At 40.6% G+C, this 24,524-nt stretch overlaps 1 protein-coding gene and 1 long non-coding RNA gene across 10 annotated transcripts in view, besides 6 other annotated features; one reads left to right on the forward strand and one right to left on the reverse strand.

Annotated features, from left to right (window-relative positions):
- The window catches only part of MED14 (mediator complex subunit 14), an 87,855-nt gene extending 66,035 nt beyond the window's left edge, over positions 1 to 21,820 (reverse strand). For 4 of the 9 annotated variants that reach the window (XM_047442641.1, NM_004229.4, XM_047442642.1 and 1 more), the window contains exons 1-4: positions 20,859 to 21,203; positions 14,980 to 15,006; positions 12,407 to 12,512; positions 198 to 371 (exon numbers count right to left, since the gene is read on the reverse strand). In XM_047442641.1, coding sequence (XP_047298597.1) covers positions 198 to 371; positions 12,407 to 12,512; positions 14,980 to 15,006; positions 20,859 to 21,073 — 522 coding nt within the window. In that variant the 5' untranslated portion in view covers positions 21,074 to 21,203. Of the gene's footprint in view, positions 1 to 197; positions 372 to 778; positions 882 to 12,406; positions 12,513 to 14,979; positions 15,007 to 20,858; positions 21,204 to 21,382 lie in introns of those variants that run through there. The other 5 variants (XM_047442643.1, XM_047442636.1, XM_047442638.1 and 2 more) reach the window with 5 other exon arrangements.
- Positions 16,032 to 16,081: a silencer, noted in NCBI's record as "silent region_20766". NCBI's record gives its function as "represses an Ori minimal core promoter by ATAC-STARR-seq in GM12878 lymphoblastoid cells {active_cell/tissue: GM12878}" and the evidence as "EXISTENCE:reporter gene assay evidence [ECO:0000049][PMID:35858748]".
- Positions 20,573 to 21,494: an enhancer, noted in NCBI's record as "H3K27ac hESC enhancer chrX:40594164-40595085 (GRCh37/hg19 assembly coordinates)". NCBI's record gives its function as "activates a minimal SCP1, AML or CMV promoter by ChIP-STARR-seq in naive H9 embryonic stem cells {active_cell/tissue: H9 hESC(naive)}" and the evidence as "EXISTENCE:reporter gene assay evidence [ECO:0000049][PMID:30033119]".
- Positions 20,811 to 21,190: a silencer, noted in NCBI's record as "silent region_20767". NCBI's record gives its function as "represses an Ori minimal core promoter by ATAC-STARR-seq in GM12878 lymphoblastoid cells {active_cell/tissue: GM12878}" and the evidence as "EXISTENCE:reporter gene assay evidence [ECO:0000049][PMID:35858748]".
- On the forward strand, positions 21,351 to 24,359 carry MED14OS (MED14 opposite strand). Its single transcript, NR_169211.1, has 2 exons — positions 21,351 to 21,451; positions 23,854 to 24,359. It is a non-coding gene; the product is annotated as an MED14 opposite strand (long non-coding RNA).
- Positions 21,451 to 21,540: a silencer, noted in NCBI's record as "silent region_20768". NCBI's record gives its function as "represses an Ori minimal core promoter by ATAC-STARR-seq in GM12878 lymphoblastoid cells {active_cell/tissue: GM12878}" and the evidence as "EXISTENCE:reporter gene assay evidence [ECO:0000049][PMID:35858748]".
- Positions 21,451 to 22,415: a biological region, named in NCBI's record as "H3K27ac hESC enhancer GRCh37_chrX:40595086-40596006".
- Positions 21,495 to 22,415: an enhancer, noted in NCBI's record as "H3K27ac hESC enhancer chrX:40595086-40596006 (GRCh37/hg19 assembly coordinates)". NCBI's record gives its function as "activates a minimal SCP1, AML or CMV promoter by ChIP-STARR-seq in naive H9 embryonic stem cells {active_cell/tissue: H9 hESC(naive)}" and the evidence as "EXISTENCE:reporter gene assay evidence [ECO:0000049][PMID:30033119]".

Below are 24,524 nucleotides of genomic sequence, written 5' to 3' on the forward strand. Positions count from 1 at the left end.
TTCACCCATTTTGATATCTACTCACATCTGGCCCCAACTTATTTCAAAAAAGCACAACTTTAGTTACAGAGAAAAAAAGCAAACTATATGTACTGTTTGTTTTAACAATGTTTTTTGCTGGGCTACTTAATAATACAATCCAATCCAGTGCCAAAACCTTTAGTTTTTAGGAACATGGGGGCAAGCAAAGAACTTACCCTAATGCAGGTTGGCAGCCGTGGGTAAGATCCAGTAGTTAGTACATCAATGGCATATGGGATGGCAAAACTAGGCAGGCGTGCATGGACCAGAGCATCTCTAGCTAACGAGGCCAGGCGATCAGCAGTGTCCACAAACAGGATGGCTTGCTGATCTAAAAAGCTTGAAATCATCTTTAAAGTAAAGGGTAAATGTATTAAGCATCCCTGAAAACTATCTCCTTTTCACACTAAATATTGTTAAATCATTCCAAAGTAAACTTCAAGGGGAATTAGTATCAGTTTTCCATATTTCAAAGTAGTTCTTCAAATATTCTCCAGTAACTTGAAGAAGAAATATTTAATACACTAGTATTTGATATTAAGAGCAATAATTTTCTGTCACTTTAAGTAAAAGCTTTCTAATTCATTTCTCCATCCTTAACATTACACACACATAATATCAAAGTTAGGAAAAATAAGTAGAATAAAATGGTTTTTTCCTCTTACAGACTTCCAGAGTTGGTTGGTAATGAAGGAGTTAAAAGCATGGACTCCTAGACCTAGACTGCCTTGTTCTCCATTTTAACTCTGCTACTTACCAGTCTTGTAACCTTGGGCAAGTAACTTAACCTCTTTGTGCCTCAGCTTTTTTCAACTGTAAAATGGAGGTGATCATGATTCCCAATCTCATAAAGTTGTTCTCTGTATTAAGAGATAATGCAAAATAGAGAACACAGAAATCCACACATAGCCAACTCATTTTCCAAAAAAGCACCAAGAACATACACTGGGGAAAGGACAGTTTCTTTAATAAATGGTGATGGGAAAACTCGATAACCATCATATGCAAAAGAATGAAACTAGACCCCCATCTCTCACACTATACAAAAATGAACTGAAAATGAATTAAAGGCTTAAGCATGAGACCTGAGACTATGAAACTACTAGAAGAAAGCATTGGAAAAATGCTCTAAGACATTGGCCTGGGCTGGGTGCGGTGGCTCAGGTCTGTAATCCCAGCACTTTGGGAGGCCAAGGTGGGCAGGTCACGAGGTCAGGAGATTGAGACCATTCTGGCTAACATGATGAAACCCTGTCTCTACTAAAAATACAAAAAATTAGCTGGGCGCGGTGGCACGAGCCTGTAGTCCCAGCTACTCGGGAGGCTGAGGCAGGAGAATTGCTTGAACCCGGAAGGCGGAGGTTGCAGTGAGCCAAGATCGTGCCACTGCACTCCAGCCTGGGCGGTAGAGCGAGACTCCGTCTCAAAAAAAAAAAAAAAAAAAAAAAAAAAGGACAGACAACAAAAGCAAAAATAAACAAAAGAGATTATATCAAGCTAAAAAGCTTCTGCACAACAAAAGAAATAATCAACAGTGTGAAGAGACCACCCACAGAATGGGAGAAAATGTCTGCAAAATATCCATCTGACAAGGGATTAATATCCAGAATACATAAGGAACTCAACTCAATAGCAAAATAAAACCAAATAACTCCATTTAAAAAATGAGCAAAATACCTGAATAGACATTTCTCAAAAGAAGACATACAAATGGCCAAAAGGTATTATGAAAAAATGCAACATTACTAATCATCAAGGAAATGTAAATAAAAACCACAATGAGATATCATCTCACCCCAGTTAAAATGACTATTATCAAAAAGACAAAAAATAACAGATGCTTGTGAGGATGTGGAAGAAGGGGAACCCTCACGCTGTTGGTGGGAATGTGAAGTACTACAGCCACTACAGAGAACACTATGGAGGTTCCTCAAAAAAAAACTAAAAATAGGCTGTGTGTGGTGGCTCACATATGTAATCCTAGCATTTGGGGAGACAGAGGCAGGAGGATTGCTTGAGCCCAGGACTTGCAGACCAACCTGGACAACATAGGGAGACCCTGTCTCTACAAAAAATTAAAAAACAAAAAAATTAGCCTGGCATAGTGGTGTATGCCTGTGGTCTCACAGCTACTAGGGAGGATCACTTGAGCCCAGGAGGTTGACGCTGCAAAGAGCCATGACTGTGCCACTGCACTCCAGTCTGGGTGACAGAATGAGACCCTGTCTCAAAAAAAAAAAAAAACCACTAACAACTAAAAATATAATTACCATATGATCCAGCAATTCCACTGCTGAGTATATATATATTCAAGAGAAAGGAAATCAGCATACCAAAAAGATATCTGCACTCCCAGGTTTACTGCAGCACTACTCACAATAGCCAAGATACAGAATCAACCCAAGTGTCCATCAACAGATGAATAAAGAAAATACAGTACATATACACAATGGAATACTATTCAGCCATAAAAAAGAATGAAAGCCTGCCGTTTGCAACAGCACGTATGGAAGTGAAGGTCACTATGGTAAGTGAAATAAGCCAGGCACAGAAAGACAAGTATTGCACATTCTCTCTCCTATGTGGGAGTTAAAAAAGTGGATAACATGGAAGTAGAGAGTAGAATGCTGGTTAGGAGAAGCTGGGAAGGGGGGAGGAGGTATGAAGAAAAGTTGGTACAAAAATATAGTTAAAAGGAATAAGTTCCAGTATTTAATAGTAGAGTAGGGAAATTATAATTAACAATAATTTATTGTATATTCAAAACGACCAGAAGAGAAGAACTGTAACATTCCCAACACAAAGAAAAATGTCTGAGGTAATTAATATCCCAATTATCCTGCTTTGATCACTATGTACATGTATCAAAATATCACATGTACCCTCAAAATATGTACAACTATGATATATCAATTGAAAAAAAAAAGAGTTAACACATAAAAAACCTTTAGAACAGTGCCTAGAAAGAACATAGAAAACACTCCAAAACACCCATTATGAGATACAGGTCAACTTCATGCCCAATACAGAAATCCTTTCCATCAGTTTTCTACCCAATGCATTTCATAAGGATACCTAAACTAGTAGAGCTCATCACAGAGCTAAAAACTACCTCCCTAAAACCTTTATCTTCTAGTTCATGGTTTTTTTGTTGTTGTTGTTTCATTTTGTTTTGTTTTTGAGACAGAGTCTTGCTCTGTCGCCCAGGCTGGAGTGCAGTGGCATGATCTCTGCTCACTGCGACCTCCACCTCCCGGGTTCAAGCAATTCTCCTGGCTCAGCCTCTTGAGTAGCTGGGATTACAGGAGTGCACCACCACCCCCAGCTAATTTTTGTATTTTTAGTAAAGACGGGGTTTCACCATGCTGGCCAGGCTAGTCTCGAACTCCTGACCTCAGGTGATCCACCCGCCTCAGCCTCCCAAAGTGCTGGGATTACAGGCGTGAGCCACTGCACCCGGCCATCTTCTAGTTCTATTCTAGAACAACACTTAAAGTTTTCTCTCTCATGTCCTTCAAACAGGCTGTCAGTGGCCAACTTAAAACATAGTACCCAGAATTAATACCAACATCACACAAACACAGTGCTCTACAATTTCTCAGTGTTTTCAAACATTTTATTTGATTTTTGCAACTCTAGGAAGTACAACCAGATAATTACTATGATCTTAGAGATGAGAAAATTGAGGCTTAGGTTAAGACACTTGCCCAAAGAAAGTCAATAATCAGAAGAGCTGAAACAACAACAACAAAAATATTTCTTCTAATTCTTAGTTAGACCCAATATACAGCATGGTCCAGTAAAAATGCTACCTTCTATGACTAGTACAATGAATTTCTATCAATGCCACCAACACTAACTTCTTATTAACAGTCATGACACTGCTAATACATTCTCAACTTTTTAACTGGCTTTTACTCAGATTTAGGCCATCTCACATCTCCCTTAACTCAGGTCACTGTAAAAATGCTTATCAGACCAAGGTCAAGCTCAAAGAGTACCAAAGACCTCCCCGGCAGAAAGACATGCATCAACCCTACTGGGATGCCACAGTTTATCCAGCCCCTATCACTCCACTTAAACATAAACAATTAATGAAACACTCTCTAAACTACTTCACTGAACTCAAAATACACTAGCTTCAGCTACATTCCTTGAACTTAGAAATACAATTAATAAAGATAAAACTTGGCTGGGTGTGGTGGCTCACACCTGTAATCCCCAGCAGTTTGGGAGGCAGAGGCGGGAAGACTGCTTGAAGCCAGGAGTTCGAAACCAGCCTGGGCAACCAAGTAAGACCCCATCTCTATAAAAACTTTTTAAAAATTAGATGGGCACAGTAGTGTGAGTGCCTGTGGTCTCAGGTACTCAGGGAGGCTGAGGTGGGAGGGCTGCTTGAACCCAGAAGTTTGAGGTTGCAGTGAGCTGTGATTACACCACTGCACTCCAGCCTGGGTGACAGAGTGAGACTTCATGTCTTAAAATAAATAAATAAAAGATAAAACTTGAGTTTTGAGTAACTGATTAGTGAATCCATTCACATAGTCTTAGTTCACAAAGAACTAATCCATGTTATTTTTAGGTATTCACACACCAGCTGTGAATATGTTTAATAATAATCTCCTTTAGAATTTAACACCAAATAAATGTTTCTCTAAACAAGATACACAAATGGCCAATAAGCACATGAAAACAGGTTCAACATCTCTGGTCATCAGGAAAATACAAATTAAAACTTTAATGAGATGCCACTTCATACCTACTAGGATGGCTAGACTCAAAAAGTCAGGTAACAACCAGTGTTGGCATAGATGTGGAGAAACTAAACTTCCATACATTGCTGGTGGAAATGTAAAATGGTGTGGCCACTTTGTAAAATAGTCTGGCAGTTCCACAAAAAGTTCAACAAAGAGTTACCATATGACCTAGCCATCCCACTCCTAGGTATACAGTCAAGAGAAATAAAAGCATACATCCCAACAGTTGGACATGACTATCTACAACAGCATTAGTCATAATAATCCAAAACTGGAAACAACCCAAATGCCTATTAACTGATGAACAGATAAACAAAATGTAGTATATCCATGCAATTCAGCCATAAAAAGGAATGTAGTGACACAAGCTACCACATGAATCAATCTTGAAAATACTACACTAAAAAAAAAAATGCTAAGTTAAAGAAGCCAATCACAACACAACACATTTGATTCCATTTATATGAAATGTTCAGAATAGGCACATCTATTGAAACAAAGTACATTAGTGGCTGCTTAGGGCTAGAGGAGAGCTGGGGTGGTAACTAAAGGGCACAGGTTTTCTTTCTGAGGTGATTAAAATGTTCTAAAATTGACTGTGATGATGGTTGCACATATCTGTGAATATAACAAAAACCACTGAATTGTATACTTTAAGTGGGTGAATAGTATGGTATGTAAATTATATCTCAGTAAAGCTACTGAAAAAAATATCTAGGAGAATGAGAGATATTTTATCTTTTTCTTAGGCAAAACATTATCCAGGTTGTTTTACCATTAGTCAGAGTTCCATAAACTATGGATCTATACACTCATAACACATCTGGCATGGCTAAAGATCATTATCAAGAATCTCTAACAAACTAGTTAAATAATCATTAGGTTGAGAACAGAAGTGCTGAAACATGAACAATCCCTCTAATTCTCATTGATGGACTTTATCCCTGACATAAACACATCTGTATCTACATTCAGAAAACAAAAATGCTGAGAGGGTCAGAGCAAGATGGTGGAATACAAGCCAACACCAGTCACCCCCTCTCCAGGAACACGAAATTTTTACTATCTGCACACAGAAAAGCACTGTTACAAAAACCAAAAATCAGGTGAGCAATCACAGTACTTGGTTTTAACTTCATATCACTGAAAGAGGCATTGAGGAGGGCAGGAGAGGCAGTCTTGAATCCCTGACACCACCCCTCCCCTGCCACCCCAACAGAGGCCCTGCACTTAAGGGAGGGAGAGAATAGTGACTGGGGGACTTTACACTGAACTCAGTACTGCCCTGTCATAGTGGAGAGCAAAGCTGTGCTGGGCCAGAGGGAGCATTTGGACCAGCCTTGGCTAGAGAATTGCCCATCGCAGCGGTTGGAACTTGAGTTTCTCAGCAAGCCTTGCTAATGTTGGCCAAAGTACTCTGGAGTCCTAGGTAAACATGAAAGGCTGTCTAGGACACAAGCACTGCAATTCCTAGGCAACTCCTAGTGCTAGGCTGGACTCAGAGCCAGAGGACTAGGTGGCACATGACCTAGGGATACACCCGCTGGGGGGCCTAAGGGAGTGCTTCCACCACCCTTCCACAAACCCCAGGCAGCGCAGCTTTTGACAACAAAAGAGACTCCTTCCTTCTGCTTGAGGAGAGGAGAGCAAAGAGTAAAAAGGACTTTGTCTTGCATCTTGGATACCAGCTCAGCCACAGTAGGACAGGGTACCGGGCAGAGTAGTGAGGCCCCTATTCGAGGCTCTAGCTCACAGATGACAAAGACACACCCTGGGCCAGAAGGGAACCTGCTGCCTTGAAGGAAAGGACCCAGCCCTGGCAGGATTCATCGCCTGCTGAATAAAAGAGCCCTTGGGCCCTGAATAACCAGCGGCGATACCCAGGTAGTATGCCGTGGACCTTGGGCTCTGAAATGTGCTGACTTCAGGTGTGACCAAGCACATTCCGAGCTGTGGTGGCTATGGTGAAAGACTCCTTCTGTTAGAGAAAAGCAGGGGGAAAAGTAAAGGGGACTTTGTTTTGCACCTTAGGTACCAGCTCAGCCAAAGTGCGGTAGAGCACCAAGCAGGCTCTTGGGGTCCCCAAGTCCAGGCCTAGGCTCTTGGACTGCATTTTTGGACCTCCCCAGAGCCAGAGGGAAGCCCACTGCCCTGAAAGATGAGTCCCAGGCCTGGCAGTATTCACCACAAGCTGACTGAAGAACCCTTAGATTTTAAGTGAGCATCAGTGGTGGCCTTGCAGAACCCCTCCCATGAGCCGGTGATGGCCAAAGGGGGAGGCTCCTCTGCCTGTGGAAAGGGGAGAGAAAAGCAGGAAGGAATTCGTATTGTGGTTTGAGTGCCAGCTTAGCCGCAGTAAGAAAAGAATATCAGGCAAATTACTAAGGTTTTTGACTCTAATCCCTGGCCACCAGACAGCATCTCTGGGCTCACCCAAAGCCTGGGGAAACTTGCCATCCCAAAAAACACAAACCTGACTGGCTTCGCCACCTGCTGATCATAGAGCCCTAGGGCCTGGAGTGAAGGTAAGTGGTAGCCAGGTTACCAGTGTAACCAGTGGTTACACTGAGCCTTGGGCAAGACCCAGTGCTGTGCTGACTTCAGGTCTGAGCTGGTACAGTCCTAGTGGTGGTGGCCATATGGGTGCTTACATCACCATACCCCCAGTTCCAGGTGGCTCAGCACAAAGAGCAAGACTTTGTTTGTTTGGAAGAAACTAAGGAAAAAGAACAAGAGCCTTTGGTTGGTAATCCAGAGAAATCTTCCAGATCTTATCCAAGACCATCAAGGCAGTACCTCTATGAGTCGGCAAAAACCACAGCATTATTGAGCTTGGGGCCTAAGTACCTTTGAATATCTAGAAAGCCTCCTCAAGAAGGACAGACATAAACAGGCCCAGACTGCAAAGACTACAATAAATACCTAACTCTTTGAGGCCCAGATCTAAAAGCATCAAGATCATCCAGGAAAACAGGACCTCACCAAACGAACAAAAGAAGGTACCAGGAACTAATCCAGGAGAAACAGAGATATGTGACCTTTCAGACAGAAAATTCAAAATAGCTGTTTTGAGGAAACTCAAAGAAATTCAAGAAAACACAGACAATGAATTCAGAATCCTATCAGATAAATTTAACAGAGATTGAAATAATTTTTTTAAAAATCAAGCAGAAATTCTAGAGTTGAAAAATGCAATCGGCATACTGAAGAATGCATCAGAATCTCTTAATAACAGAGTTGATCAACCAGAAGAAAGAATTAGTGAGCTTGAAGACAGGCTATTTGAAAATACACAGTCAGAAGAGACAAAAGACAAAAGAACAAAAAAGAATGAAGCACACCTACAAGATTTAGAAAACAGCCTCAAAAGAACAAATCTCAGAGTTACTGGCCTTAGAGAGGAGGCAGAAAAAGAGAGATAAGGGCAGTAAGTTTATTGAAAAGGATAACAACAGAAAACTTCCCAAACCTAGAGAAAGATACCAACATTAAAGTACAAGAAGATTATAGAACACCAAGCAGATTCAGCCCAAAGACGACTCAAGGCATCTAATAATCAAACTCCCAAAGGTCAAGGATAAAGATGGGATCCTAAAAGCAGCAAGAGAAAAGAAACAAATAACATACAATGGTGCTCTCTAATATGTTTGGTAGGAGACTTTTCAGTGAAAACCTTACAGGCCAGAAGAGAGTGGCATGACATATTTAAAGTGCTGAAGGAAAAAAACTTTTACCCTAGGATAGTATATCCGGTGGAAACATCCTTCAAGCATGAAGGAGAAATAAAGACTTTCTCTGACAAACAAGATGAGAGATTTCATCAACATCAGACCTGTCCTACAAGAAATGCTAAAGGGAGTTATTTAATCTGAAAGAAAAATATGTCAATAAGCAAGAAGAAATCATCTGAAGGTACAAACTCACTGGTAATAGTGAGCACACAGAAAAACACAGAATATTATAACACTGTAATTGTACTATGTAAACTACTCCTATCTTCAGTAGAAAGACTAAATGGTAAACCAACAGGAAATCGTAACTACAACAACTTTTGAAGATACAGAACTTTTGAAGACAATAAGAACTAAAGAGAAACAAAAAAGTTAAAAAGGAGGGAGATAAAGTTAAACTGCAGAGTTTTCATTAGTTTTCTTTTTGTGTGTTTGTTTATGCAATCAGTGTCAAGTTGTCATCAGTTTAAAATAATGGGTTAAAAGACAGTATTTGCAAGCCTCATAGTAACCTCAAATCAAAAACCATACAATGGGCCGGGCGCGGTGGCTCACGCCTGTAATCCCAGCACTTTGAGAAGCCGAGGCAGGTGGATCACCTGAGGTCCGAAGTTCAAGACCAGCCCGGCCAACACGGCGAAACCCCATCTCTACTAAAAATACAAAAATTAGCTGGGCATGGTGGCATGCACCTGTAATCCCAGCTACTCAGGAGGCTGAGGCAGTAGAATCGCTTGAATCTGGGAGTCAGAGGTTACAGTGGGCCAAGACTGCGCCACTGCACTCCAGCCTGGGCAACAGAGTGAGACTCCGTCTCAGAAAAAAAAAAAAAAAAAAAAAAAAAAATACAATGGACACAAAAAATAAAAAACAAGAAATTACATCATGTCACCAGAGAAAATCACCTTCATTAAAAGAAGACAAGAAGGAAGGAAAAAAGAGAAGACCACAAAACAATGAGAAAACAACAAAATGGCAGGAGTAAATCTCTACTTATCAATAATAACACTGAATGTAATGAACAAAACTCTCTAATAAAAAGGCACAGAGTGGCTGAATAGATTTTAAAAAACAAGACTCAATGATCCGTTGCCTATAAGAAACATACTTCACCTATAAAGACACACATACATAGACTGAAAATAAAGGGATGGGAAAAGATTTATATGTCAACAGAAACCAAAAAGGAGTAGGAGTAGCTATACTTAGGCAAAATAGATTTCAAGACAAAAACTATGAAAAGAGACAAAGAAGGTCATTAATGATAAAGGAGTCAATTCAGCAAAAGGATATGATTGTAAACATATATGTATCCAACACTGGAACACCCAGATATATAAACCAAATACTAATATTATTAAAGAACAAAATGTCAATACAATAATAGCTGGAGACTTCAACACCCCGCTTTCAGCATTGGACGGATCTCCCAGACAGAAACTCAACAGAGAAACATGGAACTTAATCTGCACTGTGGAACAAATAAACCTAATAGATATTTATGGAACATTTTATCCAAAGGCTGCAGGATACACATTCTTCTCCTCAGCACACAGATCATTCTCAAGGACAGACCATATGTTAGGCCACAAAGCAAGTCTTAAAACATTCAGAAAAACTGAAATAATATCAAGCATCTTCTCTGACCACAATGGAATAAAACTAGAAAACAACAAGAGGAATTTTGGAAACCATACAAACACACGGAAACAATACACTCCCAAATGAACGGTGAGTCAATGAACAAATTAAGAAGAAAATTTAAAAATTTATTGTAATAAATGATAATGGAAACACAACACACCAAAACCTATGGGATGCAGCACTAAGAGATAAATTTATAGTTATAAGTGCCTACATCAAAAAAGAAGAAAAACTTCAAATAAATAACCTAATGATGCATCTTAAAGACTATAAAAGCAAGAGAAACCTGAAACCAAAATTAGAAGAAATAATAAATATCAGGGCAGAAATAAATGAATTTGAAATGAAGAAAACAATGCAAAAGATCAATGAAACAAGAAGCTGGTTTTCTGAAAAAATGAACAAAATTGACAAACCTTTACCCAGACTCACAAAGAAAAAAAGGGAGAAGACCCAAATGAATAAAATCAGGGATGAAAAAGGAAACATTACAACTAATACCACAGAAATTCAAAGGATCATTAGTGGCTACTGTAAGCAACTATATGACAATAAATTGGAAAATCTAGAGGAAATGGATAAATTCCTAGACACATACAACCTGTGAAGACTGAACCATGAAGAAATTCAAAACCCGAATAGACTAATAACAAGTAACAAGAATGGAGCTATAATTCATTATATTAATTATAATTTGTCTCCCAGCAAATAAAAGCCCAGGACCTTATGGCTTCACTACTGAATTCTACCAAACATTTAAAGACAAACTAATACCAATCCTACTTAAACTATTCCAAAAAATAGTGGAAGAGGGAAAACTTCCAAACTCATTCTACAAGGCCAGTATTACCCTGATACCAAAACCAGACAAAGACACATCAAAAAAAGAAAATTACAGGCCAATACATCTGATGAATATTAATACAAAAATCCTCTCAACAAAATACTAGCAAACCAAATTGAACAAAACATTAAAAAGATCGTTCATCATGACCAAGTGGGATTTATCCCAGGGATGCAAGGATGGTTCAAAATATACAAATCAATCACTGTGATACATCATATCTATAGAATGAAAAACAAAAACCATGTGATCATTTCAACTGATGCTGAAAACACATGTAATAGCATTCAACATCCCTTCATGATAAAAACCCTCAAAAAACTGGGTATAGAAGGAACATGCCTCAACATAATAAAAGCCATATTTGACGGACCCACAGCTAATTATCATGCTGAATGGAGAAAAACTGAAAGCCCTTCCTCTCAGATCTGGAACACGACAAGGATGCCCATTTTCACCACTATTATTCAACATAGTACTGGAAGTCCTAGCTAGAGCAATCAGACAAAAGAAAGAAAGAAAGGGCATCCAAATTGGAAAGGAAGAAGTCAAATTATCCTTGTTTGCAGATGATATGATCTTATATTTGGAAAAGCCTAAAGACCCCACCAAAAAACTATTAGAACTGATAAATTCAGTAAAGTTGCAGAATACAAAATCAACATACAAAACATCAGTAGTATTTCTATATGCCAATAGTGAACAATCTGAAAAACAATCAAGTTTTTACTCCTTAACGCTTCTTGAACATAGCATAAAACTTTATTTTTGGTAGATTTTAGCATCTTTGGTACACTGCACTGCATGTCACTTTGCATTCCAAAGAGTGATTCAACAGTCAAAAGACCATGAGGTTCTCGAAGGCAGGGACTATTCCTTATTGAAGATTCCATCCTCTGTGCCCTATACCCTGTGCTTATTAGAGGTTTAGAGAATTAGTAGATAAACAAACAGAAAAATGCTGTTATCAGCCTCTGTGACCTTGAAGAAGCCATGTAACTTCTAGGAACCTTATCATTTTGTCATCTGTAAAACTGGAAAAAAAAAAAAAAACCAACTCTGCCATTCTCACAGGATGTCAAGAATTCATAAGCAAAATTTAAGGGAGAACCTTGCAAATTCTAAGGAATAGCACGAATATAAACTAACAATTTTCCCCCTTTAGTTCCAGTCTCATATTTAAAGTCTCCTCACGTAATGATGTCTCCAGCTATCTCCTCTTCTTTCTGATCAGGTGTCCATAAACAAATACTAAGTTTCTGCAGAAATATACATTATCATTCAGAAATATGATTATTCACATGTCACTCAAATCAGCAGGGATAAGTTAAAGCTAAAATGTAAAACTATGTCTATCATAACATTCGAAAAGTTATTTTATACAAAGTAAAATAAAAAGTTTAACTCACCGCACATTTTTCCACTTTGCCAGCATTATTAGCCCATTTCACTAAAGCTAATAATCGAACGAAGAGTTGGCGTGTCCGGCTAGCAAACTGCACTATTTCTATTTTCCTATAAAATAAAACAACTCTTAATGAACCAACATATTAGAAACAGTATTTCACAATTTATTTCAGCTAAGCAAAAATAAATAAATAAATAAATCAGCCTTTGCTTACAACCACTACAAAATGAGCCACCTAAAATATTTATCTAAATATGAACTATTGTCACATTTTGTATATTATCTGCATATGCTTTTTCACCTCAGAGCAATAAACCCAATAGAATGTTTTAGCAATAAGTCACATTTTAAAATTAATTTTATATTGTAATAAAAGTTGTTTACAAAAATATACTAAATTCAGTATATGGTGGTAGAAGTAAACTGCTTCACAGAAGGGATTAAATGAGGAGTTATGAATTATAAGTTCATAACTGAAATTAGGAGTAATTTAATTAGTAAGTAATTAGTAACCCTTTTGGTAAGTGAAAGGAATTGAAACTGATCTTTACCAAAGCCTGAAACTGTATTCATTCTACAAAAGGGCACCAGTTCCCATCCTGCACCAGCATGAAAGATTGAGCAATTAAAGAACTTAACTATGTAACTCTTTACCAAACTAATTTCAATGACAAACTTGGATACATTAAAAAATATCCAAGCAAAGCTAAAGAAATTATGTTGAGTACTAAAAATAAAAGGTCTGTCCATATCTAGTTTTATCCTATACTCACTATTATTACTTTTCCCCTAATACTCATCAGTACTTTTATCTCATCCTAAAATCCCAAAAGCTTTACTAATGTCAATCAACGTGTTAGCTAGATCTCTCAACTTCATAGCAGCTATAAAACTGATAATCATATCTTTTATGGTTTACTTTAAAACACTGAAAAAAATATTCAACAAGCCAGGACCGATGACCAGACCCAGCAGGACACCAACCTCCCTCCAAGTAGACTCTGACCTATTAATCTTAGTACAGCTGTTCAATGACCTGCAGATCCAGTCCACATCTCTGCATCTTGCCAATACCACCACCATGACGCAATGCACCAAAGTAAAAGTTCTTGCTGAAGTACAATCCTGACTGAAGGCTAGAGGCTAGCTCCTACTGAGAGCACACATAGCCCACAAGCACCCTAAAAGGCTCTCTTAAAAATCGGCCAGCAATATGATTAGTGGTACTATAAAGAGAAGAATCAAGGGCATAATTATGACTCTTTGCCAGTGTCTACGAAGGATCATAAGACAAGACTGAGACATAGCAGAAATGTTAAACACACATTAAGATCCAGCAGATCTCAGGGCTGGGAACCTCAGTACCTTTCACTCTAACTCAGCAATGGCTTATAGAGGATGCAAGGTCTCTGCTCCTCTCACAGAGCAAACACACTTGTCTATCATTAATTCGGTTTCCCAAATGCAGTCCTCTACTACAATGGAGATGTCCCCCTTTGTAAACTATAGTAACATGGTTTTCTGACACCATGTTGTCTCAAGTGCTAGGCAACATGAGTCAGTTTTTCAAAGGCCCAGTTTCCCTTCATACCCCAGAGCGGACAGAACAAATCCTTGACTTAACGTTTTCCTCCTTTAATACTGACCAGCCAAACCATAACACAGGTTGCCCTAGTTGTCTCTTTCACTTCTACCTTCTTGATCTCTAATTCGATCAAAAAGTTAAGTTGGGGTTGGCAATGGAGTGTTGCCATTAAGAAATGCTAAAAAGTTGCCAAGTGATTTGGTATAAAAAAAAAAAAATCAACCAAGGAGCATAAGTAGTGCCAAAGATACGGTCAAGTACCATATACTTTAGTTACAATTTAAATCTCCATCAAATGATTTCTTTGAAACTTTAATTTCGCTTGTTCCTTTGGCCTCTGGAAACATTTTAGCCTTAAGTTAAATCTTAAGCTCCAAGCTCCAACTGAACCAAAATGTTAACTATGTAACAGTAGGAGCAGTAGGCAAATGTCAACTCTCTAAAGATACTTAATAGCATCATTGTTGCAAGTGATAAATTAGCAGCCAACTTTCTTTTTTTTTTTTGAGACAAAGTTTTGCTCTGTGGCCCAGGCTAGAGTGCAGTGGCGTGACCTCGGCTCACTGCAACTTCCACCTCCTGGGTTCAAACAATTATTCTGCCTCAGCCTCCTGAGTAGCTGGGACTACAGGCGCCCGCCACTATGCCCGTGGCAGTCAACTTTCTAAAGCCAGTCTGCTGCTCCTCAGCATCTTCCTTTACAGACTATACCTTCTTTATCTTAATATCACCCTTAGGGACTTGACCAGGTCAGTCACTCAATAAAGGTTTGTAGAACAGAAGATTTAGAACTGGTCTCACAACAAGTATTGTTAAGGGTGAGGAAATTACATTTCCCAGGACTCCCTAAATACATGGTGTGAAAAATCATTCTAGACTCTTTGGGCCTAGGTTTCCAATCCACAGCCCTACACCACCCATACCCACACACCAACACTCATAGATTGATCAATAAAGAGACTTTAAGGGTTTTTTTTTTCCATACTCACCTTTCCACATCAGATTTCCTTGGCAGTCTAAGAAGAAAAAAAAAAAACGGATTAGATACATGCATACCTTCATTCTAATGTGATAATAGTCTTTACTTTGACTCTATTAAATACGTTAATGTTTCAGAAAAACTGGGTAAACAGCTACTACAGGCTCATGTAGCTACCTACTCTTTTTTAGATTTATGAGTTTCCAGCAGTATGGTTATAAGGCAAAAACCAACAAAAGAACATTTTTCTCCATTCAAAATACTTCAAAATGTATTGCATGAACCTTAAACATTTAAAAAGCCCAAGTCCCACATTAGCACACTATATCATAGGGTGTCAGAGAAAAGATTATTTTAAGACCAAAATGGTCACAGATGCAGAAGAACTTACTACTTGGTTGCCAGCCTCCCTGTATCCAATGGATACCTGTTTCCAAGCAATAATCCCTCCACATTGTGTTATGGTGGACAAAACTGGAAGCTAAGCATACAAAAGGACCAGTGTATGTCAAGGGTTTTACAGTAATTATGCTGCATGGTGGTTAGATGAAAAATTTTTATTGCTTTTAAACAGCTCCAACAGGATTTTTAAGTTTCTTTTTGCTAGTCCTCCAATACTGATAGCCAGCAACCAATGTCAACTTCTTCCCAGATAAGCTATACCATTTAACATTCACATCCACTGATGCCTAGAAAGATCCTTAATGCCTCCTGAATTGCCACATTCTGTTAACCTCTATCCCACAGTCCAAGATTCAATGGCCTAAACAACTCTCATGCCTCTCCCACAGCTAATCAGTTCTTGAAGTACACACACCCAGCCATTTAGATTGTCTCCCACCCACGTGCCACAGGAACAGAAAAACTAAAACTACTTCCAGAGGTTCAAAGTACAAGGAGGAGAAAATATTAAAATGATCTCTGGCTTATAGTTACCTCCTACTCTTAGGGTAGACGGTGAGATGGAAGTTAAAGTTATGGTCAGAATGATAAAGGGAACTAGGTGGGGGCTGGAAGGGCCAGCAGACCGGAGAGATGAAGCAGAAATTAAGGCCCTGTTAGAAGACTGCAAATAAAGGCAGCTACTGGCAAGTTCCTCTACAAGCCAAACCTCTTGAGAACACTCCTTGAGAAGCCACAGCCCTTGTTTTCACCTCAAGGGAGGGGGAGAATGAGAACGATGGGTATCTATAAGGGGAGAAGGGGAGCAGAGTTTCTGGGGGTAGAAAGAACAGGAATCATTGTTCCCACTCCTCCTACCTGCCTCAGAGACCCTAAAAGAACCATCTCATGTCAGCGGTAGTATCAGTTCAGGGACAAAAGACAGGCTTTGCTGCCTGCCTCCCCTTTCCCCTATTCCTCCTAATCTATTTGAAATTCTTTTATGGATAAGAAAGCTACCATTTAGAGTAAAAGTTCTAAAATGCAAATGTTGGGAAGTAAGGCATAGAAACTTATTTACACCAAAGCACAATAAGACAAGATTACATGACTGAGATCCTGGCATTTTCTGAATTAAAAGAAGTTTAAAAAAAAGGGGGCGGGGGGGTCAGGTACGGTGGCTCACACCTGTAATCCCAGCACTTTGGGAGGCTTGGTGGCGGGGGGGTGGGGTGCAGATCGCTTGAGTCCGGGAGTTTGGGACCAGCCTGGGCACACATGGCAACCCCATCTCTACAAATAATACATATTAGCCAAGTGTGGTGGCAAGTAGTCCAGCTACTTGGAAGGCTGAAGTGGGAGAATCACCTGAGCCCTGGAAGTCAAGGCTGCAGTGAGCCATGATTGTGCCACTGCATTCCAGCCTGGGTGACAGAGCAAGACCCTGTCTCAAAAAAAAAAAATAAAGAGTAGAACCTAGGTCTCTAAAAAGTCAAGGCAGAGAGTAAACTCTAGGATGAGAGCATGTATGTTGAGGGGGAAGGGAGGTGGACAAGCAGAAGGAAAAAACCCAGAAATCTGAGACCAAAACAAAACCACCTAAGTTGCCAAGGTTGTCCTTTTTACCTTCAATAGTTCACACACAAGCATCACATATTACTGAAGTAACTGTTTCCCTAAAGACTCATAAAGTATACCTCGAACACTGGCTCTACATTAACATATTAATCCTGACAGTTTTTAGGGAAAATACACTATTTAGGAACTTCCATGGTAAGTTCCCAAACTAATTAATTAATAATTACCACAATCAAAAGTGAAAAAAGTTGTATACCTGTGTATCAAGAACAAAAATAACTTTTCCTATTAAATTTCCCATGGTTTACAATTCTTTTTGAACAATATTTTTATTGATGCATTAAGCATGTACAGTTTCACAGTACATATAATTTCATACATTTATATAATTTGTAAAGATCAAATCAGTGTACTTGTGATATCCATCATCTTAAATATTTGTTTTTTCTTTATGCTGGAAACATCTGAATTATTCTCATCTAGCTATTTTGAAATGTACAGTAGATTCTTGCAAACTAGTCACCCTACTGAGTTATCAAACACTAGTTATTATTTCTTCTATCAAACCATATATTGATTTATGACAATTCTAAACATTCATTCATTCATGTATTAAATCAATAAATACTTAGTTAAGCCCTGTGTGCCAGGCATTGTTCTAGGCACCAGGGAAAGTCACAAACAAATCAAAATCTCTGTCCTCATGGGGTGGGAATGGACAACAAACTAATAATGTCAGGTGGCAATAAGTGCTGTAAAGAAAAATAAAGCAGCAAGTAAGAAGGACAGAGTGAAGGGGCAGAGTACTATTTTATAGGTGGTCAGAGAAAATCTTTCTGATAAATTGTATGTAAACAAGGACCTAAAGGACTAATGAGAAAGCAATTCACACAGATTTCTAGGGAAAAAGCAAAGGCTCTAAGATGGCAGTGTGCTAGGCACTAACAAGAAACATCAAGAAGGTTTGGAGGCTGGGCACAGCGGCTCACGCCTGTAATCCCAGCATTTTGGAAGGCCAAGGCGGGTAGATCACCTGAAGTTGGGAGTTTGAGACCAGCCTGGTCAGCATGGTGAAATCCCATTTCTACTAAAAATACAAAAATTAACCAGGTGTGGTGGTGCATGCCTGTAATCGCAGCTACTCGGGAGGCTGAGGCACAAGAATCACTTGAACCCGGGAGGCGGAGGCTGCAGCAAGCCGAGATCACACCACTGCACTCCAGCCTGGGCAACACCGTGAGACTCTGTCTCAAAAAAAAAAAAAGGTTTGGGAGGCAGAGGTGGGAGGACTGCTTAAGCCCAGGAGTTCAAGATCAGCCTGGGCAACATAGTGAGACTCTTGTCTCTACCAAAAATAAAAAAATTAGCTGGGCGTGGTGGCGCATGCCTGTAGTTCCAGCTATTTGGGAGGCTGAGGCAGGAGGAGCAGTTGAGCCCATGTCGAGAGGCTGCAGTGAGCATGACTGTGCCACACTGCACTCCAGCCTGGGCAACAGAGTGAGACCCTGTCTCAAAAATAAAAAAGAAACATCAGGAAGGGTAATGTGGTCGGAACAGGATAAGCAAAGAGGAGAGTTTCAGGACATGCAGTTAAAGAGGTAAGGGACAAACCAAAAGTGGTTAAGAGGTTGGAGAAAAAAAAAAGGTTAAGGAACAGAGAAGGCACATCATGTAAGGCCTTAAAGGTAAGATGACCACATGTTCTGGTTTTCTGGTTTGCCCAAGACAGTCCTGGTTTATGCCTCTTGTTCTGACATTATTATCATCAGCCCCATTATGCTCAAAAGTGTCCCGGTTTGGACTATAAATTTTATGGTCACTATACAGATGATTATCAATATTTTTTTTTTTTTTTTTGAGATAGGATCTCACTGTCACCCAGTCTGGAGTGCAGTGGTGCGAACATGCTCACTGCAGCCTCAACCTCCTGGGCTCAAGCGAACCTCCTGGGCCCAAGCAATCCTCCCACCTCCACCTTCCAAGTAGCTGGAACTACAGGCTTGGGCCACCACACCCAGCTAATTTTCTATTTTTGGTAGAGACAGAGTCTCGAACTCCTGGGCTCAAGTGACCCCCTCCCCTGCCTCAGCCTCCCAAAGTGCTGGGATTACAGGTATAAGCCACCACACCTGGCAATTATCAACACTTTTTAATCTCAGTGAGATGGGGAACCATCGAAGGGTTCTAAGCAGAGAAATTTTAAAAGAATCATCCTGGCTATTTTGTGGAGAAGAAACTATAGAAGGGGCAAGGGAACTACAGAGATACCAGTGAACTGACTATTGCAGTACACAGGTGAAGGATTAGGTGGCTTGGACCAGCACTTGGTGGAAGTGTTGAGAAATGGTCAGACTCTGAAGTCAAAGATAACAGGACTTGCTGATGTATGTAGGATGTGAAGAGAGAGGAGCCAGGAGTTATTCCAAAATATTTGGCCTGAGCAACAACAGGAAGAATGGAGAGACTAGTGAGATAGCAAAGAAGGTTCTGCAGGAGGGAGGACAGTGGAATCAGGAGTTTGGTGCTGGAGTTGCTATGTTGAAATGCCCATCAAGATACTGAAATGTAGGCATCTGGATATAGAGTCTGGAGTTCATCAGAGAGGTCTGTGCTGGAGATACAAATATGGGAACCATCACATAAAGGGTGTGGGACTATAACTACATACTTATTCTACGGCAATAAAACAGATGTTCCTCTCTTCATAAGCCAAGTCCTAAAATAGTAAAAAGACAACCACAATTCAAGGAATTTCTACAAATCCCCTATGGAAAAGCAAATTACACCACCGATAGCAGCAGTTTTCAACATTTTTTTTCCCACAGCTCTATATAGGCACATACATGAAACTTTCTCATGGATATTCTTGGATTTTTATGAAATCCAACAATAAATGGTGCAGAGAGGTATATCATTATAATAGTCCCTAAACCTGACAGCGATTTAAATTTCTCATTAGCCATGGGTAGGCTTCTTTAACACTACTTTTTTCTGTCCCATTCAAAAAAGTACAATACATCAAAACTGAGAATGACGTTTTACAGGAGTTAAGTAGAGCCTACTCTTTCAGTCATCTGCAAACAAGTATCTGTTATCAGTCTCTAAAAACAAATTACTGTGACGCTTTAGAGCCTAATATCTGCATACTAATGTATCTCAATTGATAACCCTGATCTGAAGTCTTGCAATAGATAAAAAATAAAATTCTGATTAACTTTTTCTGAACCTGGGTTATAAGATGTACAACAGAGTCCCAAAATGTTACGGTGCCTTTTCTTCACACACTGAAATTCGTTAGTATATTCTGATCCTATTCTGAAGGGATTAACAACTTAATCATGCCCCAAGGCATTTCATGGGTAACTAGGTGATTTATAAACCCCCTTCATACTCCAAGAAATAACAGACTACTTACAAAAAAATTTTACTCACACTAACTTCATTAAGACCTCAAACACTCAAAAGTTCCAGAAAAAAAGTACTTTGAATTCAAATTTGTATTTTATACACAACGTATGTAGCTCCTGCATTAACTTAGAAGCAATAACAGCTTACATTTAAAACGTATCGTCAAGAGGCTGTAATACAAATTTCCCATCTATAGAGTTTTTTCTAAAAGCTCGAATATTATGTATTCCAGCCAAGAAATCAAGAGAGTTCTGTTGGGAACTCGGACAAAAATTTCACACAATTTTCAGTGGAAGTGTAACAACACGCAAAATTAACAAGTCTCTGTTGCATCGTTGCCAGGAAGACCCCAGATACAAAGCTTCTTCTCCACCTCTGCTGAACCCCAGGAGTTCAAAAATTCTAGACTAAGCAGTCCAGCGGAGAACACAGCAGCCTCTCGGGGAGAGGGAGGTGCAAACGTCTCAGCCGGTTGGGCGGGAAGGGGGGCTGGGGAACAGGCAGGGGTTTCGGGGCACTTACAGGTCCGTCAACACCATAAGCTCCGAGTAGGCCCGGTGCAGCAGAAATTCAATGAGGGTGCTCAGCCGGTAGCCCGGGCTAGCCGCAGCTGCAGCGGCCGCCGCCACGGCGGCTCCCGGGGGAGGAGGGGCTGGGGCTGACGGGGGTCCGCCGCTGCCCCCGCCGCCGCCTCCGGGCGGGACCAGCTGGTGGTTCTCCAGCTGCACTGGGGCCATGGCGGCGCAGGACCGGGCTTGGCGCAACGGCACACGATGCGGTCCTCGAGCCTCCCGGGCGCTCGGTCACCGCGCCGAAACGGGAGCGGGCAGAGTCGCCACCGCCTACCGCCGGGCCGCCTCAGAACAGGAAGCCGTGCGCCGACCGCGGAAGCCCGCCCCCATGTAGCGAGAAGTCCGCCGACCCCAGGGACAGGAGCGAGGGGCGGGGGGAGGCGGGGATGGGGGGGAAGCAGGGCGGCCCCGCAGAGGGGAAGCTGCGCCTCCGCAAACGCTCAGAAGCAGCTTCGCCAGACAGCCGCAACGTACATGTTGACTGCCCGAGGCGGAAGTCGATCGGCAGAGCGGAAGGGGGACCTGCAGAGGACCTTCCGACAGGTCTGTGTCTGTTCTCTCAGCTGTCTAGCACCGCAGCGCTGGGGGGCGCGTGGGAGTGAGGCGGTACCTGTGAGCGCGCGGGAGAGCGGAAAAGGGAGCCGCGCGCCGCCGGAAACCAGGGTGAGGGCTGAGCCGGAGTCGTCACCGGGAACGTCAGCAGTTGCCCCGCCCTTACCCTCGCCGCTCTCCCTCCCGCCTCCGCCCCCTGGCGTTGTAAAGGCGACAATTTGCCCAGAGAAATCCACCATCGCTTCCTAAGTGGGGCACAAACACAGCCAGGGGAGGCCTCCTCTAAATGTTCGTGAATTCTGGTTCTGGAATCGCGAAGAAATGGGAGCGGCCGCGCGCTTGTGATTCTCAGGCCTTTGCTCCTCCCATACACGTCCACGGCGCGTTACGTGGGAGAACGTTTTCGCCCCTTTTTTTTTTTTTCCAAACTGTGGGAAAAGGTGCTAGAAAATATGATTGCGGGTAGAGACAGGGCCGCTGGCAGAGTAACTCAATTTTAATAGAGTCGGGTGTATGCTGAGGTCGTCACCATCCCCCAAATCCTGTCAGTCCCACACAAAAACGGCCCTTAAATCCCCTGCCACGGGCTCTCATATAGTTTTTGTCCTTGCTCTTGCAGTCACCGCTCTATTCTGAAGGGCTTTTCAGTTCATCCATGCCTACCGACACTCCCGTCCCCCCCATCAAAGTCCACGTTTAATTTTTTGTACCTGCTTTAAAACAGCGATTCTCAACCTTGGCTGCACTTTGCAATTATCTGAGGAGCTGTTTTTTAAAAAAATACTTAGATATATGGGTTCCACCCCTGTAGATTCAGATTTAATTGGTCTGGCTTGAGGTCTGGGCTTGGGGAATTTTTGAACTTTCCTAAGGTGATTCTAACATGCCCTAACGTAGAGATTCACTATTAGAAGCATTCGTTGCTGCGACCCCTTTCAAACATCTTTTTGCAGTTTCATCTCCTCTTGGTGTAAGAGATGTTCATGATGTTCCCTAAGGTTAGAATATTCTTACTGTCATCACTTGGGTAATTCTTTATCATTGTTGAAAGCGGTTCATCTGCTTCTGAAGGTGTAAGCTCACTTGTTCCCTCCCTTGGTGGTCCTAAAGCACATTGAAACAGAATATCATTGTGCTAGTTATTAAAATGCATTGGGATTATTTATACCCCTTACAGATACAGTTGCTGGAAGGCAGCTACCTTATTTTTAAATATTATTTTTATTTTTAATTGATAGTATATACTTATGGCATACAATGTGATGTTTTGAAACATGTAACCATTGTGGAATGAGCAAATCAGGCTATTAACATCTATCAAATGATATACATACTTACTTCTTTTGGTGAGAACATTTAAAATCCACTTTTAGCAACTTTGGAAGATACAAAAGGTTATTGCTAATTGTAGTCACATTGCTGTGCAATAGATCACCAGAACTTATTCCGCCTATCTAACTGAAACTTTGTACCCTTTGACTAATATTTCCCCTTTCTCCACCCACTGTCCTACCCGGCCTCTGGTGGTAACCACCATTCTACTCTTTACTTTTTTTTTTTTTTTTTTTTTTTGAGACAGAGTCTCGCTCTGTCGCCCAGGCTGGAATGCAGTGACGCGATCTTGGCTCACTACAACCTCGCGTCCCAAGTTCAAGCGATTCTCCTGCCTCAGCCTCCTGAGTAGCTGGGATTACAGGCACGTGCCACCACGCCCAGCTAATTTTTTTTAAATTTTTATATTTTTAGTAGAGATGGGGTTTCGCCATGTTGGCCAGGCTGGTCTCAAACTCCTGACCTCAGGTGATCCACCCACCTTGGCCTCCCAAAGTGCTGGGATTACAGGCATGAGCCACCATGCCCGGCCTGAATTTCATTCTTTTTTAAGGCTGAATAGTATTCTGTTGTATATTTATACCACATTTTTTAATTCATTCATTGGTTGATGGACACTTTGATTCCGCATCTTAGCTATTATGAATAATGGTGCAATGAACATGGGAGTGCAGATATCTCTTCAACATACTGATTTCAGTTCCTTTGGATATATACCCAGAAGTAAGATTGCTGCATCCTGTAGTAATTCTATTTTTAGTTTCTTAAGGAACCTCCATACTGTTTTCCAAAATGGGTGTACTACAAATTTACATTCACATCAATAGTGTACAAGGGTTCCTTTTTCTCCACACCTTCACCAACACTTGTTATCTTTCATCTTTTTGATTATAGACATTCTAACAAAATTTGTTTGCTCCCTACACAAATTAATTGTGTGGTTTTAATTTGCATAGAGAGGCAGGCAAAGGCTACTCTGCTAATGGCTTTAGAGGCCACAGTAAGAAGTTTGGGTTTTATTCTAAATGCAAAGCCATTACAATGTTCTCATTTTTTTCTAGGTTGGTCAGACCATGCCCATGGTTCCTCCTCTCGACTTCACTATGAATGCCGCATCTGTTGAATGAATGCAGTTTCTGCTCTTGCTTTTGGATAGAAGTGATTGCAAATCTTATCAAAATAATGAAAAAAATTACTTTTCAATTCCTTTTCAACCCTTTTGAGTCTGAGGGGCAGCTGTACATTAAATGAAACCATATGTATCATAATTTCATTTTTCCATCAAAAGAGCTTTAAAGGAAATTCCCCTTTTTCTCCATGTTTTCAATATTTTTTGTTCCTTTTGTTAAAATCAGATTAATCTCATGAAACATCTGAAGCATTTAAGTCAATTTAAGAGCTGAGAAAATATCATGCTGCTAGTTCTGAAACGATCTGAAGTGTGAATCAGGTGATCACCAAATAGGGGAACAACTGAAAAATGTGAATGAAAGAAGTATGTACCTATACTATAGTGTCAAATATTGTACTGTAAGCTTTAAAATGATAAATTGGAAACTTTCCAAAAGTGGTTTGAATATGGGTCATTTATTTAGTAACTCAGCCAAACATGCTAACATTTTCTTTCCTTCCCCATTAATTTATTTTACTAGCCCTTCCTATGTTTGCCAAGTGGCTATGTTACTGAAACCAGCCCAATTGTCCCATAGAACCGATGTTTACAGTCTTCTAA

Source organism: Homo sapiens, chromosome X, assembly GCF_000001405.40.
Source record: "Homo sapiens chromosome X, GRCh38.p14 Primary Assembly".
Taxonomy (NCBI): Eukaryota; Metazoa; Chordata; class Mammalia; order Primates; family Hominidae; genus Homo; species Homo sapiens.